The sequence below is a fragment of the Homo sapiens genome, chromosome 11 (assembly GCF_000001405.40).
Source record: "Homo sapiens chromosome 11, GRCh38.p14 Primary Assembly".
In the NCBI taxonomy this organism is placed as follows: domain Eukaryota; kingdom Metazoa; phylum Chordata; class Mammalia; order Primates; family Hominidae; genus Homo; species Homo sapiens.
In genome coordinates this window covers 106,669,463-106,689,273 of record NC_000011.10, presented here as the reverse complement: position 1 = coordinate 106,689,273, position 19,811 = coordinate 106,669,463, and the positions used below count along the sequence as shown (strand labels likewise).

The following is a 19,811-nucleotide window of genomic DNA, read 5'->3' as shown; positions in this document are numbered from 1 at the left end:
TTAAATATAGACTGTTCATATTATAACTTATTAGTACTACCAACTATTGTTTTAGGTAATATTTTCTATCCATTAATAGCATTCGAGGAGGAATATTTTCTTCTTCTCCTTAGAGATACTCATAATTGATTGTGCAATGTTCTTATCTGTTCACACATCCTTTATTCTTCTTGTGCTCATTGTTTCTTTTGCCCCGACCTGCCTCCTACTTGGAGCTGCTGCTAACATGAATCTGTCTTAGGAGGATGGATTGTTTTTAAGAAAAAGATAATGGGTTTGGATCCAAGGTGCTTTCCAAATAAAGTCTAAACTCTTAGTTTAGGGCTTTAAAACTTTTTCCTAACCTACTGCCCCAGCCTTAACCCTCATTCTTACCTCACTGGGTAATGCTATCATATGGTTAGAAACTTTACAATATTCTTGTTTCTAACCCTTTGGTTACATTGTTTTCCTTATCCACTTGTTGAAACTGTATATGCCTTTAAATAACATCTAGTCCATGAAAGCTTTGTGGTCCTCCCACTGCAAATACTTTTTTTCTTCTAGACTTCTGCAATTTTCGTGTCTACTTTTCTGATGGCATCTAGCCTATTACGTTCTATACTTTGATATTACTCTGTGTTTTGTTCATTTATTGGGTTTTTTTAAAAATTCTTTTATTCTGTTTCTATATCTGTTGACAAAACTGTGAGCTTTTTAGATGTGTTCCACTTCTTATATTCACAGAAGTGTCTAGGAGGCTTTTCTTGGGCAATAAGAAACAGTCTATCAAGAGCTGTTGAATTAAATTGAATTGTTGGGCCACACTTTTAGATACAAGTATCAAACTGAACCTTTCATGAAACTGGACAAGTTTAAAGAATAAATTTATTCCAATGTTGTTAGTGTTTTGAAAAAGAGTCTTTATGTGTGACTGGAAGAGAAGAATCAAGCTGTTTAACCAATAATGCTATCGAGTTTGGATAGCATGCTTGGCTAGAAATCAGCAAGCAGATATCAGAGACATTGGGAGTCACGAAGTGTTGTTCTACAAAGTTAAATACTTGATTAAAGTTTTTTACATACAGGACACACATTTAAAGCTTACGGTTTACCAAACATAAAAGGAGTGCACTAGAATTTGGGCAGGTTTTAAAAACGGAAAAGGTAAATCCTGCATGCTTGAAATAAAACCTGTATTATGAAGTTTCCTTGGGCATTTGTTTAGGGAAAACAATAACATTTGAACAAATATTTTCAAGGAATGCTGTTTAGAAAGAAATCAATCTTGAACAAATATTTTCAGGTAGTACCATACTCAGCTTTGGGGTTTTTTTATTATTATCACATGAAGGGATCTTTTCTGAGTTATAACATTTCCTAGCATTTGGAATCTGATGAAGGCCACATCTATACAAAGAAATAGAGGTATTACCATGAACAGTCAGAGATAGGCTTCCTGAGCCTTTAAAATTTCTGTCCATGTATTTACATTTCCCTGGCCTACTTGATTCATGTGCTCTGTATTTTCTTCTTAGATTATTAAAACGAGAAGAAAGTTTCACATTCATTCCGCGGTCTCGTGAAGAGCTTCCAGACAACTTTCCAAAGGAAATTCCTGGGATCTGCTATTTCCTGGAGGTAAGGACTGGTCCAAAGCCACCAAAGCCTTCTCTTTCTTCGTCGAGAATAAAAAAGGTTTCCTACAACATCGGCACCATGTTCCTCCGGGAGACAAGCCTCTGAGACCTGCTACAGATCAAAGACTCCTCCAAAAAGCACAAGCCCAGAACATGGGTCACCAATGGGGGGTGGAAAGAGATTGTGTCTCTTTCATTGCTTTGTTGAGAACAAGCAGCAAAATTTCTGTATTATGTCAGGCAATAATCCTACTAAAAGGTGGAGGTGACCGCTGTCAATAAAAAGCCGGAGGATGAGGGAAATAAGATGTGTCCATTCATATGAGTGGTTTTGGTCATATATATACACATATATTTTAATTACAAGTGTGGGTCCCCTTTCAGAACTAACCAATAAATAGATTCCATGTTTTCTTGTTTATCACACATACAAGTATCTTTCCCTATATATTTGTACCACTTTTGAGAGCCAGTTTTGATTATATATTCCTACATTTAGTGAGTTGGTGGGTGAGGAATATTTTCTAAGTTTCTTTTTCTGAACAGACATTTCATACATGTATCATGGCAGTGTGGTAAACTTCCCAACTGGAAGAATTGTAACTCGGCAAAATATTTTAGGGATATTACCTATTTTTATACATATCTCTTCTAGATAACTACATTTCGCACAACATTATTAGATTTTCAGAATCTGCTTCTGTATTGTTAGTATATTATATATAATGCTAACCTATTAATCTAATATAGTTTCCCTTATTTAGAGAGATCAGTGCTTCGACTGAGAATACATATAACCAAGGATTTCAGATACCAAGAAAGCATTATATGTCTGCTTAGTAAATATATCTTTTAGATTTAACTAATGTAGCATGGAATCCAGAGGAAATGGAATTTCCTAACACCAGATGTATCTGTAACCAAGATTAAAGAAAGGTCTTTTTGCCACCTTCTAACAAATATCAGTTAAAATGAAATGCTTTGCTACACTGGATCCTTTTCAACTTAGCACTTACAAATATAGGTAGCTTTTGCAACACTAAACTGCATTCTAATAAACAGCATTCAGCTAAATGACATGTTAGTTACCCCCTTCCTCTTCCCCAGTTGATGCCTCCTAAGAGCCGACTGCTATTCTTGAGAACAAATTCCTGGATACTGGCATTAGTGACAAAGAAGTGTCAGGACAGTTTGCCAAGAATGTTGTTTCTTCTTGTACAACACAAAGCAAGGAAACCTCTGTATTTTATGGCTTTGAGGTTTTAAAAAATGTTCTGCAGTTTGATTGATATGGCTTTTAAATTCAGTGAATCACTTTCATGAATACTGAAGTAGGTATAATCTTCAGAACTAGTAATCATTATAGTTACAGATAGGATTCCATCGCATGTCCTGCTCAAATGAAGACCTGTTCTCATTAATCAATACTGCATGAAAATATTACTGGCTCACACTAAAATTAGGAGCATCAGGTGTCCAGAGTTTTCCTGTTTGGGTTCAGATATAAAATCTAAGTTTCTATTGAGGTTAATAAGCTGGAAGCATTTGTTTCCTTTAAGCCTTGGAGAGGTCATTTTCTTACTCATTGATAGCTTATGTCTACTGAATGCAATATTCTTTTCTGTTCAGGGATTTTGGCTGCATTATGATTTGGTTATGACATAACTCAGTTAAGGAATATATTTACTAATTTCCAATGTAGTCTATGAGGTTCATTTAATGTTTTTAAATTTTCTATGTGTGTGGCTAGAAGGCATTTGTAGATATGCAAATATTTGTTATAATCCTGATCCCTTTTATAATTTGAGTTATTTTCTTGCCCTGGGGGTTTACAAGGACACGAGTGCAACACTCTTTATATGGAGAAGACAGGAAATAGACCTTGAGCTCTAAACCTTTGCCTGACCCCCTCTTCTGTGGGCCTGTGTTTCTGGACAATGGGGAGGTTTACAGCCAGTATGAGCAGAGCAGACTGGGAGCACCTCAATCCTCATGCTTATATTAGAAAATGCCTTAGCAATGTTGATGGGCTCCTTGTAGCACTGGAGCATGGGGAGGGAACAAGCTCACTGATGTCATTTATGCCTATTGTCTTCAGTAACTTAGAACTTATTATGGTATATTAAATCAATAAAATGTTGGTGATGAACAATGTGTTTTGTAACCATAAGGCTGAAAGGGACTTCCAGGAATATCCAATCTATTTCTCTCACTTTTTATAAAGATTTGTCTAAGCAACTACTCTAAACACATATTTATTATCTCCATACTTAAGAATATCTACGGGAAGCATATTTGAAAAGCATCATTGGAAATCCACCTCAATACTAGTGATAGGCCTGGAGAGAAGTATTGTATTTATATATCTCAATTTATCAGAAGAATCACAAATTCTGTATTAGTTTATATGATTTTACTTAGAGAATAAGTATCCATTTACATTGCCATAAATGTCACGATGAAGAACGTGCCAGAGATTTCTTATTTATCACTGACAGGATGTCAACTACATTTTTCATACATTATAACCTAAGTGTATTTTCACAGCTATAGTCCGAGATAATGGTCCAATTTGTTATCATTTTGCTAATCTATTATAGTTGATTATTGTAGTTACAATGTTGCTATATATGTTTATGAGGTACTATATAAAATGTCTGTTCATTCAAACTTCAATCACAGAAGTTAGAAGATGGAGAAAAAATTATATTTTTATTTGTCCTACACAATGCCATCTACATCTCTTCTCTTAGGAATTGTGATTGTAACAATGTGGTGGCATTTGTTATTTCATATGACTTTTATCTATACAGTATTCTCACTTACTTACAAACTATTACCAACAGCATGCATTTTAGTATGGCAGATACAAGAAATTTGTGTGATGTTCCCTTAGAAACCAAATGATATTAAATTGGGGAAATGGTTTTAACCCACTCTGCAAGGGATACTTTAAAATATAATTTGGCACCTATAGCTCTTGCATTTTAATATTCTTTTAAGCTGCTGTTTGGAAGAAGGCACCTTATAACTAGCCATTAGCACCAAAGCATCACGTTGGTATCAGGATTATTTTGATGGAGAGAATGTCATCATTTGCAAATAAATCAGTTATCTAACAAAATCAGAATCCCCCAATATGTACTCAGAATGTACTACCCTGTATCTTCTTTGTGGACCTTAATCATTAGGTAACATTGGCCATAATAAAAAATAATAATATGCTTCAGAAACATAGTAGTTGGATCTCTTGTCTATATAACGTAGAGAAGGGGAAGAAGACATAGCTTCCAGGTAACATGGGACCCAATTGCGTACAATCTGCCTTTATATTCATCTCTTGCTCTATATTTTAAGTAATTTCAGATTTTCCTTTTAATATCTGATTATGTGGAATCAAGTGAGCTTTGATCTGGGACTCTGAGACAGACATTGATGCCTGAGACTTGAGAGTGGGTCTGTAGGTTCAGCACTTCAAATGTTGTTTCTTACAGTCTTGCACTCCTTCCTCTTGTCCAGTAACAACGGTGTCAGGACACAGTAGTTTAGTGTGAATATGTGTGTCTTTCCAGGAAAAACAAAGCAAAAGAGGATAATAACAACTTAAACAAAATCTCATTCACAAGGGGAGCAAGACTTTTAATTTTGCAAATGCCTCCAAAGAGTTCCAGCAATAAAGCAAAATTAAATTGATAGATAACAAAAGGCAAAGCCATGGAGAATTCTGAAAACCCCACCAGGCTCTGTGTTTTGTATAGAATCATACTGCTGCTGAATGAAATTGTGTATCTAAAGTCGTAAGGCATCAGGTAGGAGCTCAAAATTATGACCATAATTAAATATATTTGTTGAAGGCTCCTTGGGTCCCTGACTTTCTGAGAGCAGGTGTTGTGGATGGTTAAGGCAAAAAGTAAAACTTTTACACACAGGTTTCTGTCTTGTCATTTTGAGAATGACTCAGTCCATTCTGGACCCTTTCTTACTCCATTCTGTCACTAGAAACCATCTCACCCCCTCACGCCTGGCCACAGCAAACAGCATTCTCTCTTCACTTCTGAACCCAGAATGGCTACAGAAAGGGTTGCTGGTGCCTCATTCAGGCGGATAGGAAGGACCACACACAGTCAGGCCTGAGCAACAATGTACTTCTGAAGTGTAGTAATGAACTGGATGTGCCGGGGCATTGATTATATCTGCAGCTTCACCCTCTGCTCTTTCTTCAAAACACAGTCTGACTCCAAGCACTTCATACAGCTTCACTGAATGTTCCTTTGAAATTAATTATAAATGACTCTGAATAGGCTTTGGGTAGCACCAGGCGTCTTTCAGCTGACAATATCTAGAAACTCAAGTTCAAGAACCAAGCCCTATATCGTAGCTTAGTTTTTTCTACTATTAGATTATAGACCTTCAGCTACAAAAATTATGTCATTTCAGAGGCTTCTATAATCATAGCTTAATAATAGATATAACCCAAAAATCATGATGCATGAGACTGAATTATTGAAGTTTAACATATTTCTAAACGATTTATGGGCAGCTCTTGATATGAATGTTCCTAAACCACAACCAGCTGGTTTAACATACACATAAATTGTGTTCATGTGATTGAACAAAATTTATTGTTAAATGGGTAAGTTGACCTCAGCTATGGACTCAATTTCAAGATCCTCGTAGTGGTGAATGAAGAGCAGACACTGATATTACATACAGATTAACAATCTTGTCAGGCTATACTGAGATAGTGTGCAAAATTCCTTCCTCACACTTGATCCAAACAATTGAAACCTGCGTATGACTGTTCTTCCATCCCTTGTTTTCTTCCTTCCTTTGTTCCTTCTTTCCTTTAATTAAAAAAGGTCACTGATACATTTATAACACAGGAAGTATCACAGCTAATCCCATATTCTAAAATAGTTTTATAAAGTGATTAATATTTTTAGTTTGTGTGTATGCATCTGTGTTTATTGAATGTAGATGTTTCATGATTGAAAGAAGTAAGTTTCTTTGGAAGGACTTGGGAATGCAGAGAAGTAAAGTTTGTGTCTTTATTTCTAATATGTTATAACCAGATCACGGTTTCAGTTAAGTACCTCATTGCCATCCCATCCTTAAGAAATGACCTAGTTCAGTGGTTCAGCTGATCTGCTTGGAAGTATCTGGCTGGCTTCATAAGAATTCCGTAGGGAGTTTTAGGAATACAGAAGACTAGTCTTTACCTTCAGAGATTTGGATTCAGTAGGTCTCAGGTAGGGCCTAGGAATCTGTGTTTAGAAAATCACTCTAAGTAATGCTAATATACAGCCAGACTTGGGAATCATTGAAAAGTATTCAAATAATCCCAATTACTAGGAATAAATACAAGTTGACTGGGATAGTGATGTTATTTCATTTGTAGTTATTTTGAAAAGTTAAATACTCTAGGCCTCATACCATTATTTCTTTCACAAATTTTAATTTTAGCTTTGATTTCCAATTTGTGGTCTTCTTTCTGAGCATGAATCTTCAAACTTAGAGACAGACGTCAACACTGATAAGCATGAGGGATGAATATTGCTCACTATAGGGCTATTAGGCATACTAGATACAGTACCATTTTCTTAGTTACTGCCAGAGCTGTGCAGTATATTACAACATTTGCTAATCCTCACCACCGAGGTAAAAACTATGACCTTTGGGACACAGAAGCAAATATCAAAGTGACAGCCTTACTTCTGAATGCTTTGATTTTTATGTCATGAAAAGACATCAACTTAATACTTAGTCTCACTATGTACTTTTCATATTGAATTGTACATTATCTGAAAACTGATTTCCAAGCAATACCGTGTAACAACCTTTCAAGCAATAATTTAAGCCATGGTGATGATGCCATATGAAGCTTGCACTTCTTTGCATTTCATAGAGCCTTTGTGAAAACAGAAACATGTTTTATACAAGCAATAATATAGCTGGTGTGGACTTTTTAAAGATACTCATTATTCTGTAGCAAAATGAGCAGCAAGTAATGACTCAGATTAAAAATATTCGGGCAAATGACATGTTTAATCTATCTCAGAAGTTATTCATTTGCAAACATGCTGTAAAGTGATTAATATACATCAGATTATTTCTGGTGCATAATTTTAAACATGGCTATAAAAATATGATTTCTATTCCTGTCAAAGAGATTTGTGTATTATTTATAATGTTGCCCAATTTTTGGATCTTTGTAGTATATAATAGTAAGGAAGAAGTTAAGGATGGATAAATGAGTGGAAGTAGAGCATAGGTTGGAAGAGGTGATTGAGAAAGTAGGCTTTGCAAAAATATAGATGGGTCTTGCGGCAGATTTATTCAAATGTTGGTTTGATATGGTCTTGGAAGATGAAAGAGTAAAGATAAAAGAGCTCATTATTACTGTTTTCAATGATAGCTACACAAGTTTTTGGTAAGTATGATAGTATTTTGACTTCAGAATATGATTGACTGAAAGTCACCTGTAGCACAATAAATAAAAGTCTGAAAATGATTATTCAGTAATACTGAAAAAACACTAAAGCTTTCAGATTTCGAAATGAAAAAATCATGTTTTTAGTCTACTTAAAATACAATTTTAATAGAATGTGGCATAGTCAATGATAATCAGTTCTTTAGTAGTTAAATTTACTTCATCATTTAGAATAATGTATAAGGATTACAGCTAAAATCAACTAGTAAATTTATGTTTATACTGAACAGTATCTAAACATCAGATTATGATTTAGCATATAAGCTTAGGATTCATTCCTAAGCATCTAAATAAGATGACAGCTCCTATTATTGCCCTGCAAGGTAAACAATCCCCTAAACATGAATATGAACCCATTTGAATGGTGGGTGTGTTCGATATTTTGTCTTTACCTTTCTATTACTCATAGCAAAACTTAATTTTAGCATTCTCCTGCCCACAGTTTGGAAAATTTCCCTATCAAAATCAAACCGGATTGTTGATTTACTGAGGCTTTGACAATTATCCTCTTGTATATCACTGGATCCTTAAATCCTTAGTAAGAATGGTTTTGGGTTAAATAAATAATGGAAAATATTTAATTTGAATCTATTAAATTACACTGAAGTTATCCTTCCAGTTAATTCAGCTAGTTGCTGATCAGATCATTCTTTATATTAGACTTAAGTATTGTTGCTTATTATTTAAAAGCAGAAAAGAAAAACCAAATGGCAGGTCTGAGTAATAGTTACTTTTTGATTCTTTTGATACATATTTTTAAACTGAAGAAATCACTTTATATTCAGTCTTCTTCTGTGGACTTTTTGCTATTTGCAGATAAAGAAGGAATTCTACTTAATATATTTTTACTGTGGTCTATTAAATGTCATTAAACCTATATCTAAGAGGAAAGTAATAACTGAAATAAAATCAGGAATGTGCAAAATTGTTTCTTCATACCTCACTTTCTGAAGACACTTCTTTGCATTCTGCTGCCTGGCATTTACACAGCAGACTCAGGACAAAGGGACAAATGGAGTGAGTGAGGTGGGCAGGAGCTTTAGAAGAGATGAAGCAAAGAGAGTTAGTTTTTTATTCAGGAAGATGTAGAGACTCTTAAAGGAGAGGCAATTTCCGTAACAAACACCTCTGGTTTAATGGAAGCCACATGATTTATTTGACTACTGGTCACTCATTTTTAAAAAGAAAAGAGAAAGACAAAAAAAGAGAAACCCTTCACAAGCCATTTTTAGTTTTCCTAGGAGGTAGTGCCAACCTCTCGGCAGCTGCACATCTCAGTGAAGCTGGGATAGAAGCTTACAGAGCTACAAATAGATGCTTTCTGAAGGTGGCAGATAGAACTAGTCTTGGTTACAATGATTAAGGTAAATGAAAGTGTCAGAACATCTGGGTTGAAGGAACAAAGAAGGCCCAATACCAGCTCTGCCATATGCCACAGAAAACCCTGCTAAAATTAGCATAGAAAAACAGACTAACACTATGCAAGTGATATTAAAACAAACTATATTTTTTCCTTTTATAACATGCCTGGCTGAGCTAGCATTCAGTGAGAAGAATATACTTTTGTCTTATGAATCATTTAAAAACATTTGTTGTTGTTCTGACATTAAATAAATTACATATTCCCTTAGTTGAAAAATTTAATCACAAATAATAGGAAATATTTATTTTGTGTCCTGAAATTTTTAAACTTTTGGCGGCTGTACTCTACGCCATATTCTTCTTCACATTCTTCTCAAATTGGGTTTGGCTGCTAGCAAAACAAGTGTGGAACTTTAGAGCAGAAAAATGTCCATCTGTCTCTTACAGAATGTGCCAGAGTATTTGAGCTGGAGAGAGAATCACCCCATAGCATTTAATGGTATTCTGTGAGACACGAAGACTCTAGTCTTCTAAACTTAAAAGTGGTTAGGTAGTACCTTAATCATCAAAGATTTTTCACTTACATGTAACTGGTTAATTCATATAGAGTTTGTTTAGAACAGAAACTTTAAAAGGAGGGAACAAACCTGAGCAATTTTTAATCAAAATTATCAGTTAGAAAAAGAATTTAAGACAAAGATTTATTGTCCTGAAAGAGTCAACTCACTCATATCCAAAACTTAGAATGTCAGAGACTTTTGAAAGTTTTCTGAATGTGTCAACTTCTTCAGCAATGAGAGATTCAATTAATGTTGTTTCTAGGTTCCTTAGAGTTTTATCCTCTGATGATAACACTTAATTGTGAATTACATTTAAGTGATTTTTACTTTATATTTTCCATTTGTTACAGAAAAAAAGTCATAAATATGACAGACTTAAAAATTGTGGCATTGAGCCAGGGTTTGCAAATTTGGCAATATTATTTTACTTAAAATATTACACTTTTTAAAATAACATAAACATTAAGGATAATAGTCAAATAATACTGTATTTTCAGCTTGTTCACATTAGAATATAGAACAACGCATTGTAAACTTCTCGGAATAAAATCTAAGTCAAAACCAATTTATGTTCAAATCATTTGAACAACAAATATGAATATTGTTACATCACCTCTGACTCTCTGACTAGTAAGAAACTATGCATTTCCATACCCAATGAAACCTCAATTCCTACAGCAATTCTACTTTTATTGCCTCCCAAGAACTATTTCTTCATGGTCAATATCACTCTTTAAAAGCTAGCAAAATATGACTTTCTTCTGAGGTTTGGGCAATCTGGATCAATATTTATGTATCTAACCACTTGAAAGGCTGTCTCCTTTTTTGGCCTTTTAAATTAAAACTTCCATAAAATGAAGCAAAATATGAAAACAGCTAGTTGATTTATCAATAATGTGAAACCCTCCTTCTGAATTTTTTTGGTAAAAATTACCACACTGAAACCAAAACTTAACCTTGGCTTGGACTCTCAGATAAATTGCTTTTGTATTCTTTGACTACAAAGTATTCTCAAAAAGAAGAAATTATTTCTGATGGTAGATCAAACTCTAGCCAAGAAGGTCTAGATAAACTAGAGGACTGTATAATTATCTAAAGTAATTCAGGGGGACTTTTAGAAAAATTCTTTAATTTTTGTTCCTGTGTAAAAATTATTATTAATGGATGGCAGCCCAAATTACTATTCTTCTTTTAAAATTTGTTTCAAGTGTGTCACCAGGCACTCATAAAATTCATTTATTTGTTATATAACTCAATGACCTGAAATAATAGGTGCTCATTGCTTTTTCATTTGATCCTTAAAAACAATTTTATTCTGTCTAAAAAAAATTCTCCTGCTAAAATCCAAATGATTACCTGGCTATAGGAGGAGTCCCATTTTATGAACATGTATGAAATATTTAGTTGGATTCAGATGAAATGCAACTTAGAGAAAGGAATGGATACCAGTAGAGAAGATGGAAAGAGACACAAAAATCAGACTTTGCTTACATCAAAATTAGGTCTGTTGTCTAATCCTGTTAACCTAGAGGCAAGCTGAAAATAGATGGTAAGGATAAATAGATTTTTAAACACAGTATTTATATTTAACAGAATGTCATAAAAATGACAGAATGCCATGAAATTCAGCATGTCAAAACTTTGATAAAACAAACAAGAAATTTAATAAATATGCTAATTAGAGTGAATATTTAAAGGGACAAAAATAACTTGTCACATCATAGATGTCTCCCCAGTGCAGAATTTATTATCTGCTGGGAAAATTTGGTTTTATGTCTTCAATCAATATTTGCTGCATTATCTAATTAAACATTAGTATATTTTTTGTGCTAATGAGAAACCATGCAAGAGTCCAAATATCAAGTGTGGTGACAGCTTGAATCAGTTGAGTTTGGTGTTCATGAATAAAATTCTTGATGAATGTGAAATGAATGGTTTATATACATAAGTTTTATGTGCAGTAAATTAATTAGGCTTTAAAACTTGTTAGCATGCTTAGCTCCTCTTTTTTCCATTGAATTATCTTCCTATCTTCCTTCCTTCCTTCCTTTCCTTCCTTTCCTTCCCTCCCTCTTTGCTTTATTTCTTTCTAGCTCTTATAAGATAAATGACAATAGTACTTTACTATTTGGGCTGGAGCCTCCCTTTTTCACTTTCACATGATTGAACACTTTGTGGATTTGTGAGAAAAGGGGAAAGAAGATGAGCACGTAGATGCAGATCAGTTGAGGATAGAAGTGACTGAGAGAATTGGGACCTTGACTTCCAGAGACTGTCAGTCAAGAGAAATGTGGGTCTATAAAAATCTATGTGTGTTCATTTTCATTGAATTTAAACACTTTTTCAAGAAGTATCAGGGTCAATCTGTTTGGACAATCTCCTATTTTTACCCCCTTACAAATGTCTTAAGTTAGAAAAACCTCTTATTTTCAAGTAGTCATTTTTTTTTATGTGAGTACCACACTGCTAAAGACTGAAATAGAAAAAAAAAATGCTTTTTCTGTTTGTAGGGAAATTGCTTTCTGAAAACTACTCCCAATAAGATGTATACATCAAATGCAACTTGATTTTACTGGCTCTTTATCTAGAGATAACTGATGCACTGTCTTCTTTCTTAGATACCCTTCTGTAATTCAGCTTGGCATAGTATGATGTTTTGAGTTCTTATTGAGGGTTTGGAAACATTTGTCATCAATTTTATGTCTACTCTATTGAAAAAGCAATATACAATGTATTCCATATTTCTTAGCTCTGTGTCTTTGAGGTTTTAAACCTATATTCAGATAGCTGTTTTTAGCTACAATTTTGAGTATTCACCAGAATTTACAAATTGCCATTTTATTAAATACAAAAAAAAAAAAAGTACAGCTTGGATCAAGAGATCAAACATTTACAAATCTCAATCCAAAGCCATTATTTTTCAGGGAAAATTAAATCATTTCTAGCAGAGTATTTGACTCCTAAGGGAAAATAAGTCAAATATCTTCTTTAAGAGTAAGGGCATTCTTCCATTGTAGGTATTTCTAATTGACTTTATAATAATTTGAACAAATCTTGAACAAGATTTAAAGAATTTATAATCTCCCAAACTTAAAATTGTATTCTTTCTGGTTTTTTATTTTTATGTATTAAGATTATATTCAAACCACTTAATTATCTTCATGACATAAGTTTGTGTTAATAGAAAATTATACAGAAAAAAACATGATTTGTTCCTCTGTGGAAAGATATGCTTCAATGAGTTAAATACCCTTGAATTTTGGTTCTCATTTCTTATTTGGACTTTTCTGTTATGTACCTCAGGGGTCTTAAATTCTAACAGATGAAGTAGTCAAAGGGGTATAAAATACTTGAAAAAAATTAAAACTTCAAAAGGGACGAATTTCTCTGTTAACTTTTGTTTATCCTATACTGACTTATTTTGAAATTGTGAAAAAACAGGCAGCTACCATATAAATTGGTATCTATGAAAATACTGATTACTTTCTTCCTGTGATTTTCACTGTTAAGAAAACCTTTGTCTTGAAATGATGGACAATCTTAATACTTGTTCAGATAAAGAAATGTGACTTTCAATACCTTTACCATTTGTATTTCTTTAGGGAAATATTTTAATAATGATTGTAAAAATAGAAGAAATATGGTTGAGAAAAATAGAAGAAATTAAGATGAAATTTGAACAGTTGTAATCCACAGTCCCATTTTTCCCTCTATTTTATTGCCTTCTACTAAGTTATTGAAGGCCCAGATCTGCAAAATTTACAAGCTACTAATTCATTGTCTCCTTTAAGAATTTGGAGCAAAAATTATTCCGACTATGCGGAAATGAATTCACATCATCATGGCAGGTTTTGACTATGAGGGAATTCAGGTTAGGTTCAAATAGAATAATGGTCCATGGAGAAAAATACTTTCTGATTTTTCTTCAAGTTGGATGGAAAGGTTTTTCTTTATTTAAAAAAAAAAAAAAAAAGTCCTCCTGAGAATTTTGCCTTCGAAAAAGAAGTTTTATAACAGCTGCCTGTAGCTACATTATAACTTCGGTAATTAAGTGACAAAACTGTCTCATTATGCTTTTAAAATACTGATTAAGTGCATTCCAGAAATAATACATATCATTCATTTCAAAATCAACCTACCTGAATTCTGACTCTTCAATCATGAGTAGCCATTTTACAAAACCAAAGGGTCTCATTTCCCAAACAGTACTTTAAATATCATCCTAATAGTAATATCCTAATAGTAATAATCCTATTAATACTCACTTCAATGCATAAAATAAACAGCCAATGCACTTCCATCAAGTCTGCAGGCACTATATAATAATAAATAGGTTTCCAAAATCACTTAATAAAAACACACAGTTATAATGTGCTCGGCCTTCATTAGCATCCTCTGCATGGGGTGGTTTTCATTTAACCTGAATTATTTTAACATTTTGGCTAATTTGTTTGCTGCAATTTCATGGGTCTAAATTTTTGGTTTGGTTTGCAATGTAAATCATATTGTATATCTGCTCCTTTGTTATTAGATTTACTTTGTGAATAATATCTTTTAAAAATTGAGTTATCAAAAACTTAAATTATAATGTCATCAACTAATACCAGGTAAATATACTAATATATATGTAGGGCATGATTAAATTGCATATATTTTGAAATGTCAAACTATTTTTTGTTTTTTTAAAAAAATGAATGCATCTCTTAAACCTGTACCATTAATTTTAAAAAAGTTTCATTTGGTATTTCATATTATATTTTAAAATATTTTTCTTTATCTAGTAGTACAGGTTTAAAGAAACTTTTTCTGATTGAAATGATAAAATATGCCTCATTTCACTAGAATTTTAAGAATAATACATGTAAAAGTATAACTCATATAAGATTATAAATATCCACAATATCTTCTTTGATTTTCATGTAACACCACTTTTTACTCATTCTTTTATTTGTTATTATTCGAAATCATTCACAATGTAAATAGCATGTTTCATGATGTAAAATGTCTTTGCATTTACAGACTGCAGAACAAGGTGAATTTGTATATGAAAAATAAGTGATGGAAACGTGGGATTCTTATAAAACAAAGTGGAAATGATAGTTCTGTGTTATATTTACATAATTCATTACAAAATTGTCTAGTTAAGTCATGCATTTATTTACCTTAAAAGTGTCCAAACTGTCACTTATAAAATATTTAAATCAATAAATAATACCAAAAAGGAGTCTGAACATTCTTTTAGCATTTCTTTCCACACAATGAAGGTGAATAACAATGCCTAAGAATGTGAATGAATAATAGATGAAAGAATGGGGGAAAGAATATAGGAGTGAATGGGATGTTCATAATGCATTACCTTTATGGCTGCAGATGCAGCTGCTAACACAATATTTGACAAAGCCAATTTTGAATTTTTTAAACATGAAATATCTCTTTAGTCCTCTTGCAAAACCAAAGAGTACACATTATAATTACTGTAGTGCTATGTACCCCAAATATATATGACAAAGAAAAGGCATAACTCAGCTGTCTTCTGACTAGCCAGTTGCTTTCTTGAAAGGACAGAGAAAAGGGTTCATATTACTATCACAGTTCAATGTCATTTGAATGCCCGCTGAGTAACTTTCAAGAGCATAACCATCAACTAGATGAGACGCAGCACATATCTATAAGAGGACCATTTTATTCTGATGTTCCTATACTCCAGCAGTCTATGTAGGCAGAATCGAGTTATCTTCATTATTTAATGGCCCTCTCCTCTATAACCATTTAGTCTCAACCATACAAATTTCCATCTATTTCTAGAAGTTCCTAAGGCAGTCTTCATCCTGTGTTCACAAAACAGGGCTGTTCTCATCTTCTGCCCTTGTCTTCTTGTTATCTGCTGCTCAGAAGCCATGCTACTCCTGAGAACCACTTCCCTGACCATAAGAGAATTGACACTGAGCAGGTAAAAAAGAAGAAACACTTATCGAATAGTTCTTAAATGATAATCACGGTAAAATTGCATTTATGAACAATTTTCTTAATTACATCTTAATCCTATAAAAACCTGCTTTCTTCATTTTAGAGGTAAGAAAATTTAAGCAGAGAGAGAGAGACTAAGAAGTTGTCTGTGGCATAGCCAAGGTGGTTGCTACTTAACACATGATGAGGCCTTTTGTTAACAGTTTGAACTTTCAGGAACTTAACTACAAGGCAAACTGCAGTTAAGTGATATTGTGCTCAGGAAAACTAGAAATGGTTTTGGCTAAGGACTAGCAGTTTTTGACACAATTGCCCTTCTGCATGCCAAATACTGATTTGCACACTTTCCTGAACAAGTAGAATGCCTTCAGGTCCCTCTGCAAAGAAGACAATATAGAGTATCTCAAGTCCAGATGTGCTGGGTGATATGCAGTCATCTCCATCATCACCTGGTCACTTAGGAACCAAAACACAAATGTCTGCTTTATCCCTCTCTACCCAGACTCCCACATAAATATATGTGTGTGTGCATAGTCACATAGATCGATGAGTGAAAGGCAGACAAAGACAAAGGCATAATTTCAATAAAAAATTTGAAAGAAAGGGAAAACACATTATAATTCTCTGGTTCATGGCATGATAGACAGGTACTAAGAAGCCCCTGCCCTAGCTGGAGTCCCTATGGGCAATCATTATCTATGGCCTCCAGCTCCATCTGTAGCACTCGCCTCCATTGGCTGGGAAGTTCTTCCTTGTTCATTCCATACCATGGCTGCATCTGAAGTGGATATTAGGAAACATGCCCTCCTTAGGAGCTCTATAGCTTTCACAGCCCACTCCCTGCTAGTATATGTTTGTAATGAAGCAATAAATTTGACTCACTGGATCATTTTGAAATATGATCCAGGACAGGATCACATTTGTCTTTGTTGTTGGACAAAACAGTCACCTTAAAACTTGAAAGGCTTCTGATCTGCTTGCTTCCAGTCTGTCCCATGTGAGACATCCCAACCAAGGTTCTCTTCTAAAGTTTTTACTCCTGCCTTATTTCTTTGTCCCTTAATTTAATGGCAGCTACTTTGATGTCACACAGAACTGGAAGGAAGGTTTTGGAGGGAAAGTAGCACTCTTTGTCTGATCTTTGCTACGGGGCAGAGTCCCTTTGGTAAAATGAGAAGTCTTAATGAGTTACTTGCTGTTGCTCAGTCCTTATCAGTCTTGTCTCCTTTTTTTGAAGGACAGAAGTCACTGGCATTCTTCAGTTTCTGCCTACAAACCACCCAGGTTTGTCCAAAACCTTCTTGTAAAACAAGAAGCCAACGCTTACTGATATTCTGGTTCCCCTCAACCACTCTCCTATAAATGTAGACACTCAGAGCACTTGATCTGCCTTCCAAGTTATCCAAGATCAGCATACTTACTAAGTGTTTTGCTACCACCTAGCTCTTTTTGATCTCAGAAACTCCCACCTTGGTTCTCAGCCAGTGCCACAGAATTTAGGCTTCTGTTTTAGGAGCACTCATCTTCAAGGCTTCATATTCTGCATATTACTTAGGCTAGGTTAAACAATCCAAACAGATAAAGACCTCTTGCAATAAATGTGTATTTCCCACTAATACATCAGGCCAAAAGGGTACCAGATTGGAGTAAAGCTGCTTCATGCTATTTAGAGGCCCAGGCTGACAGGGATTCTACCTGTTAAGATTTCATAGGCCAGGTCCAGGCGCGGTGGCTCACGCCTGTAATCCCAGCACTTTGGGAGGCCGAGGCAGGCAGATCACGAGGTCAGGAGATTGAAACCATCCTGGCTAACACAGTGAAGCCCCAAATCTACTAAAAATACAAAAAATTAGCCTGGCCTGGTGGTGGGCACCTGTAGTCCCAGCTACTCAGGAGGCTGAGGCAGGAGAATGGCGTGAACGCGGGAGGCAGAGCTTGCAGTGAGCCGAGATCACGCCACTGCACTCCAGCCTGGGTGACAGAGCGAGACTCTGTCTTAAAAAAAAAAAAAAAAAAAAAAAAAAAAAGATTTCATAGGCCAGGCCTGGTAACAGCACAGATTACTTTTACTCACATTTCTACCTCTAGAATCAGTCACACAACCAAATCAAACTGCAAAAAAGATGGAAAATGCACTCCAGTTACATACCAGTGTTAAAGAAAAATCTTTCAAACACTTGTTAAAGATAAGGCAGACTATTTGTGGGATACTGCAATGGGGTTTTGCAGTAGGGGAGAGACATTGGGCTCAACTCTCAACTCCATCAAGGATCAGTGGGGATTTATAGCCAACAAGCAGGGTGGGCGTCAATGGAGGGATGGAAAATTACCAAAAGAAAACATCAAAGCTAGGGAAATTCTGGCTAAACATCTGACAGGATTCTTCCTGATGAGAGGTCAGCATGATTAGATATTGAGAGTGGAATATGAGGAATTTGATCAAATATTGAGAGATATCAAGGGTTGAGCCATTTCCTCTAAACTAACGCAGCAGGATTAATGCTAAAACTGGCTAAGCAGGACAAGGTTGGGGCCTAACCACACAGGGGGCTGAGAGGACCCTGACTCAGATTTGGTGAGGAGGGAGTCATTGTCACCAGAAAGAAGAGTAAGGATTTTGGTGGACAGCTATTTCTGCCACAATTGTATTTTTTGAGATTATTTATTATCTTATTCTCAGGAAAATGAAACTATCTCAGAATTAAAGCTATGTCTTTCTATTCAAAACAGAGCTCAGATCATTCAAAATCATAATTATAATATCAGCTATGAGATTGTCTTGGTTCTCTAATTCCCATGGATAGAGATGTTCTAACCAAATTATGATTAGTATCTGCAAACAAATCCCCCACATAAAACATTGACTAGACCACAGATCCCACAAGGTTCTCAGTTTTCTCTTGAGTGAGCTATACTAATCAGGAAGGGACTTCAATGAAAAGTGTAGTCATCACCATGATCAAATAAGATGGAAAGTAACATAAATTCCTTAGGACAAAGCCTCCCCACCACTATTTCCTCTCAAGCACTAAGTTAAAAGGGCCTAATGATCCTGTTGAATAGAACTGTTGGCATACGCAAAGTGCATATGTCATTAGAATTACAGTGAGCAGAACAAGGGAAGTAAGTAACTCTTTTCCACCCCAGTACTGGATAGATTACATACAGTTCTGGGTTTTCAGCATTAGACTTCAAACCTAGGACATTTTCCATTATGGGGAGGCAATACCTGTACGATTTCAATTTTTCAAAATACAAAAGTTATATAGAAGCACATTACCAGATTTTGACCTGAATGTCTGCCTTTTAGTTCAAAGTTATGACTACAGAAACAAAAGAAGCAAGCACGTGGTGTTATAATTTAAGTGTGTGATATTAGCAATTACACAGACCTGGAATCAATCTCAGCTATGCAATTTATTTTATTTTTATTTATTCATTTATTTATTTTTATTTATGTAAATTTAGGGGGTAAAGTGCAATTTTGTTACATGGATATATTGTGTAGAATTGAAGTCTGAGTTTGTATTTTCTATTTATTTGTTTACTTAATGTTTGAGATGGAGTCTCATTCTTGTTGCCCAGGCTGAAGTTCAATGGCGCAATCTTGGCTGTATCCAAGATTAGACCAGTTACATCTTCTTCCAAAGGCTAAATGTGCAATATTAGCTATGTTTAAATTATAATCCCAAGATTTATTTATCTGCCTCCTGGGTTCAAGTGATTCTCCTGCCTCAGCCTCCTGAGTAGCTGGGATTACAGGCCTGTGCCGCCATGCCCAGCTAATTTTTCTATTTTTAGTAGAAATGGGGT

The 19,811-nt window shown here is 34.6% G+C and overlaps 1 protein-coding gene across 2 annotated transcripts in view, besides 1 other annotated feature; it reads left to right on the top strand.

The window, feature by feature from the left end:
• The window catches only part of GUCY1A2 (guanylate cyclase 1 soluble subunit alpha 2), a 344,458-nt gene extending 329,203 nt beyond the window's left edge, over positions 1-15,255 (top strand). For both annotated transcript variants that reach the window (NM_000855.3, NM_001256424.2), the window contains one exon: positions 1,518-15,255. In NM_000855.3, coding sequence (NP_000846.1) covers positions 1,518-1,725 — 208 coding nt within the window. In that variant the 3' untranslated portion in view covers positions 1,726-15,255. The remainder of the gene's footprint in view (positions 1-1,517) is intronic.
• Positions 18,731-19,261: an enhancer, noted in NCBI's record as "OCT4-NANOG hESC enhancer chr11:106540739-106541269 (GRCh37/hg19 assembly coordinates)". NCBI's record gives its function as "activates a minimal SCP1, AML or CMV promoter by ChIP-STARR-seq in primed H9 embryonic stem cells {active_cell/tissue: H9 hESC(primed)}" and the evidence as "EXISTENCE:reporter gene assay evidence [ECO:0000049][PMID:30033119]".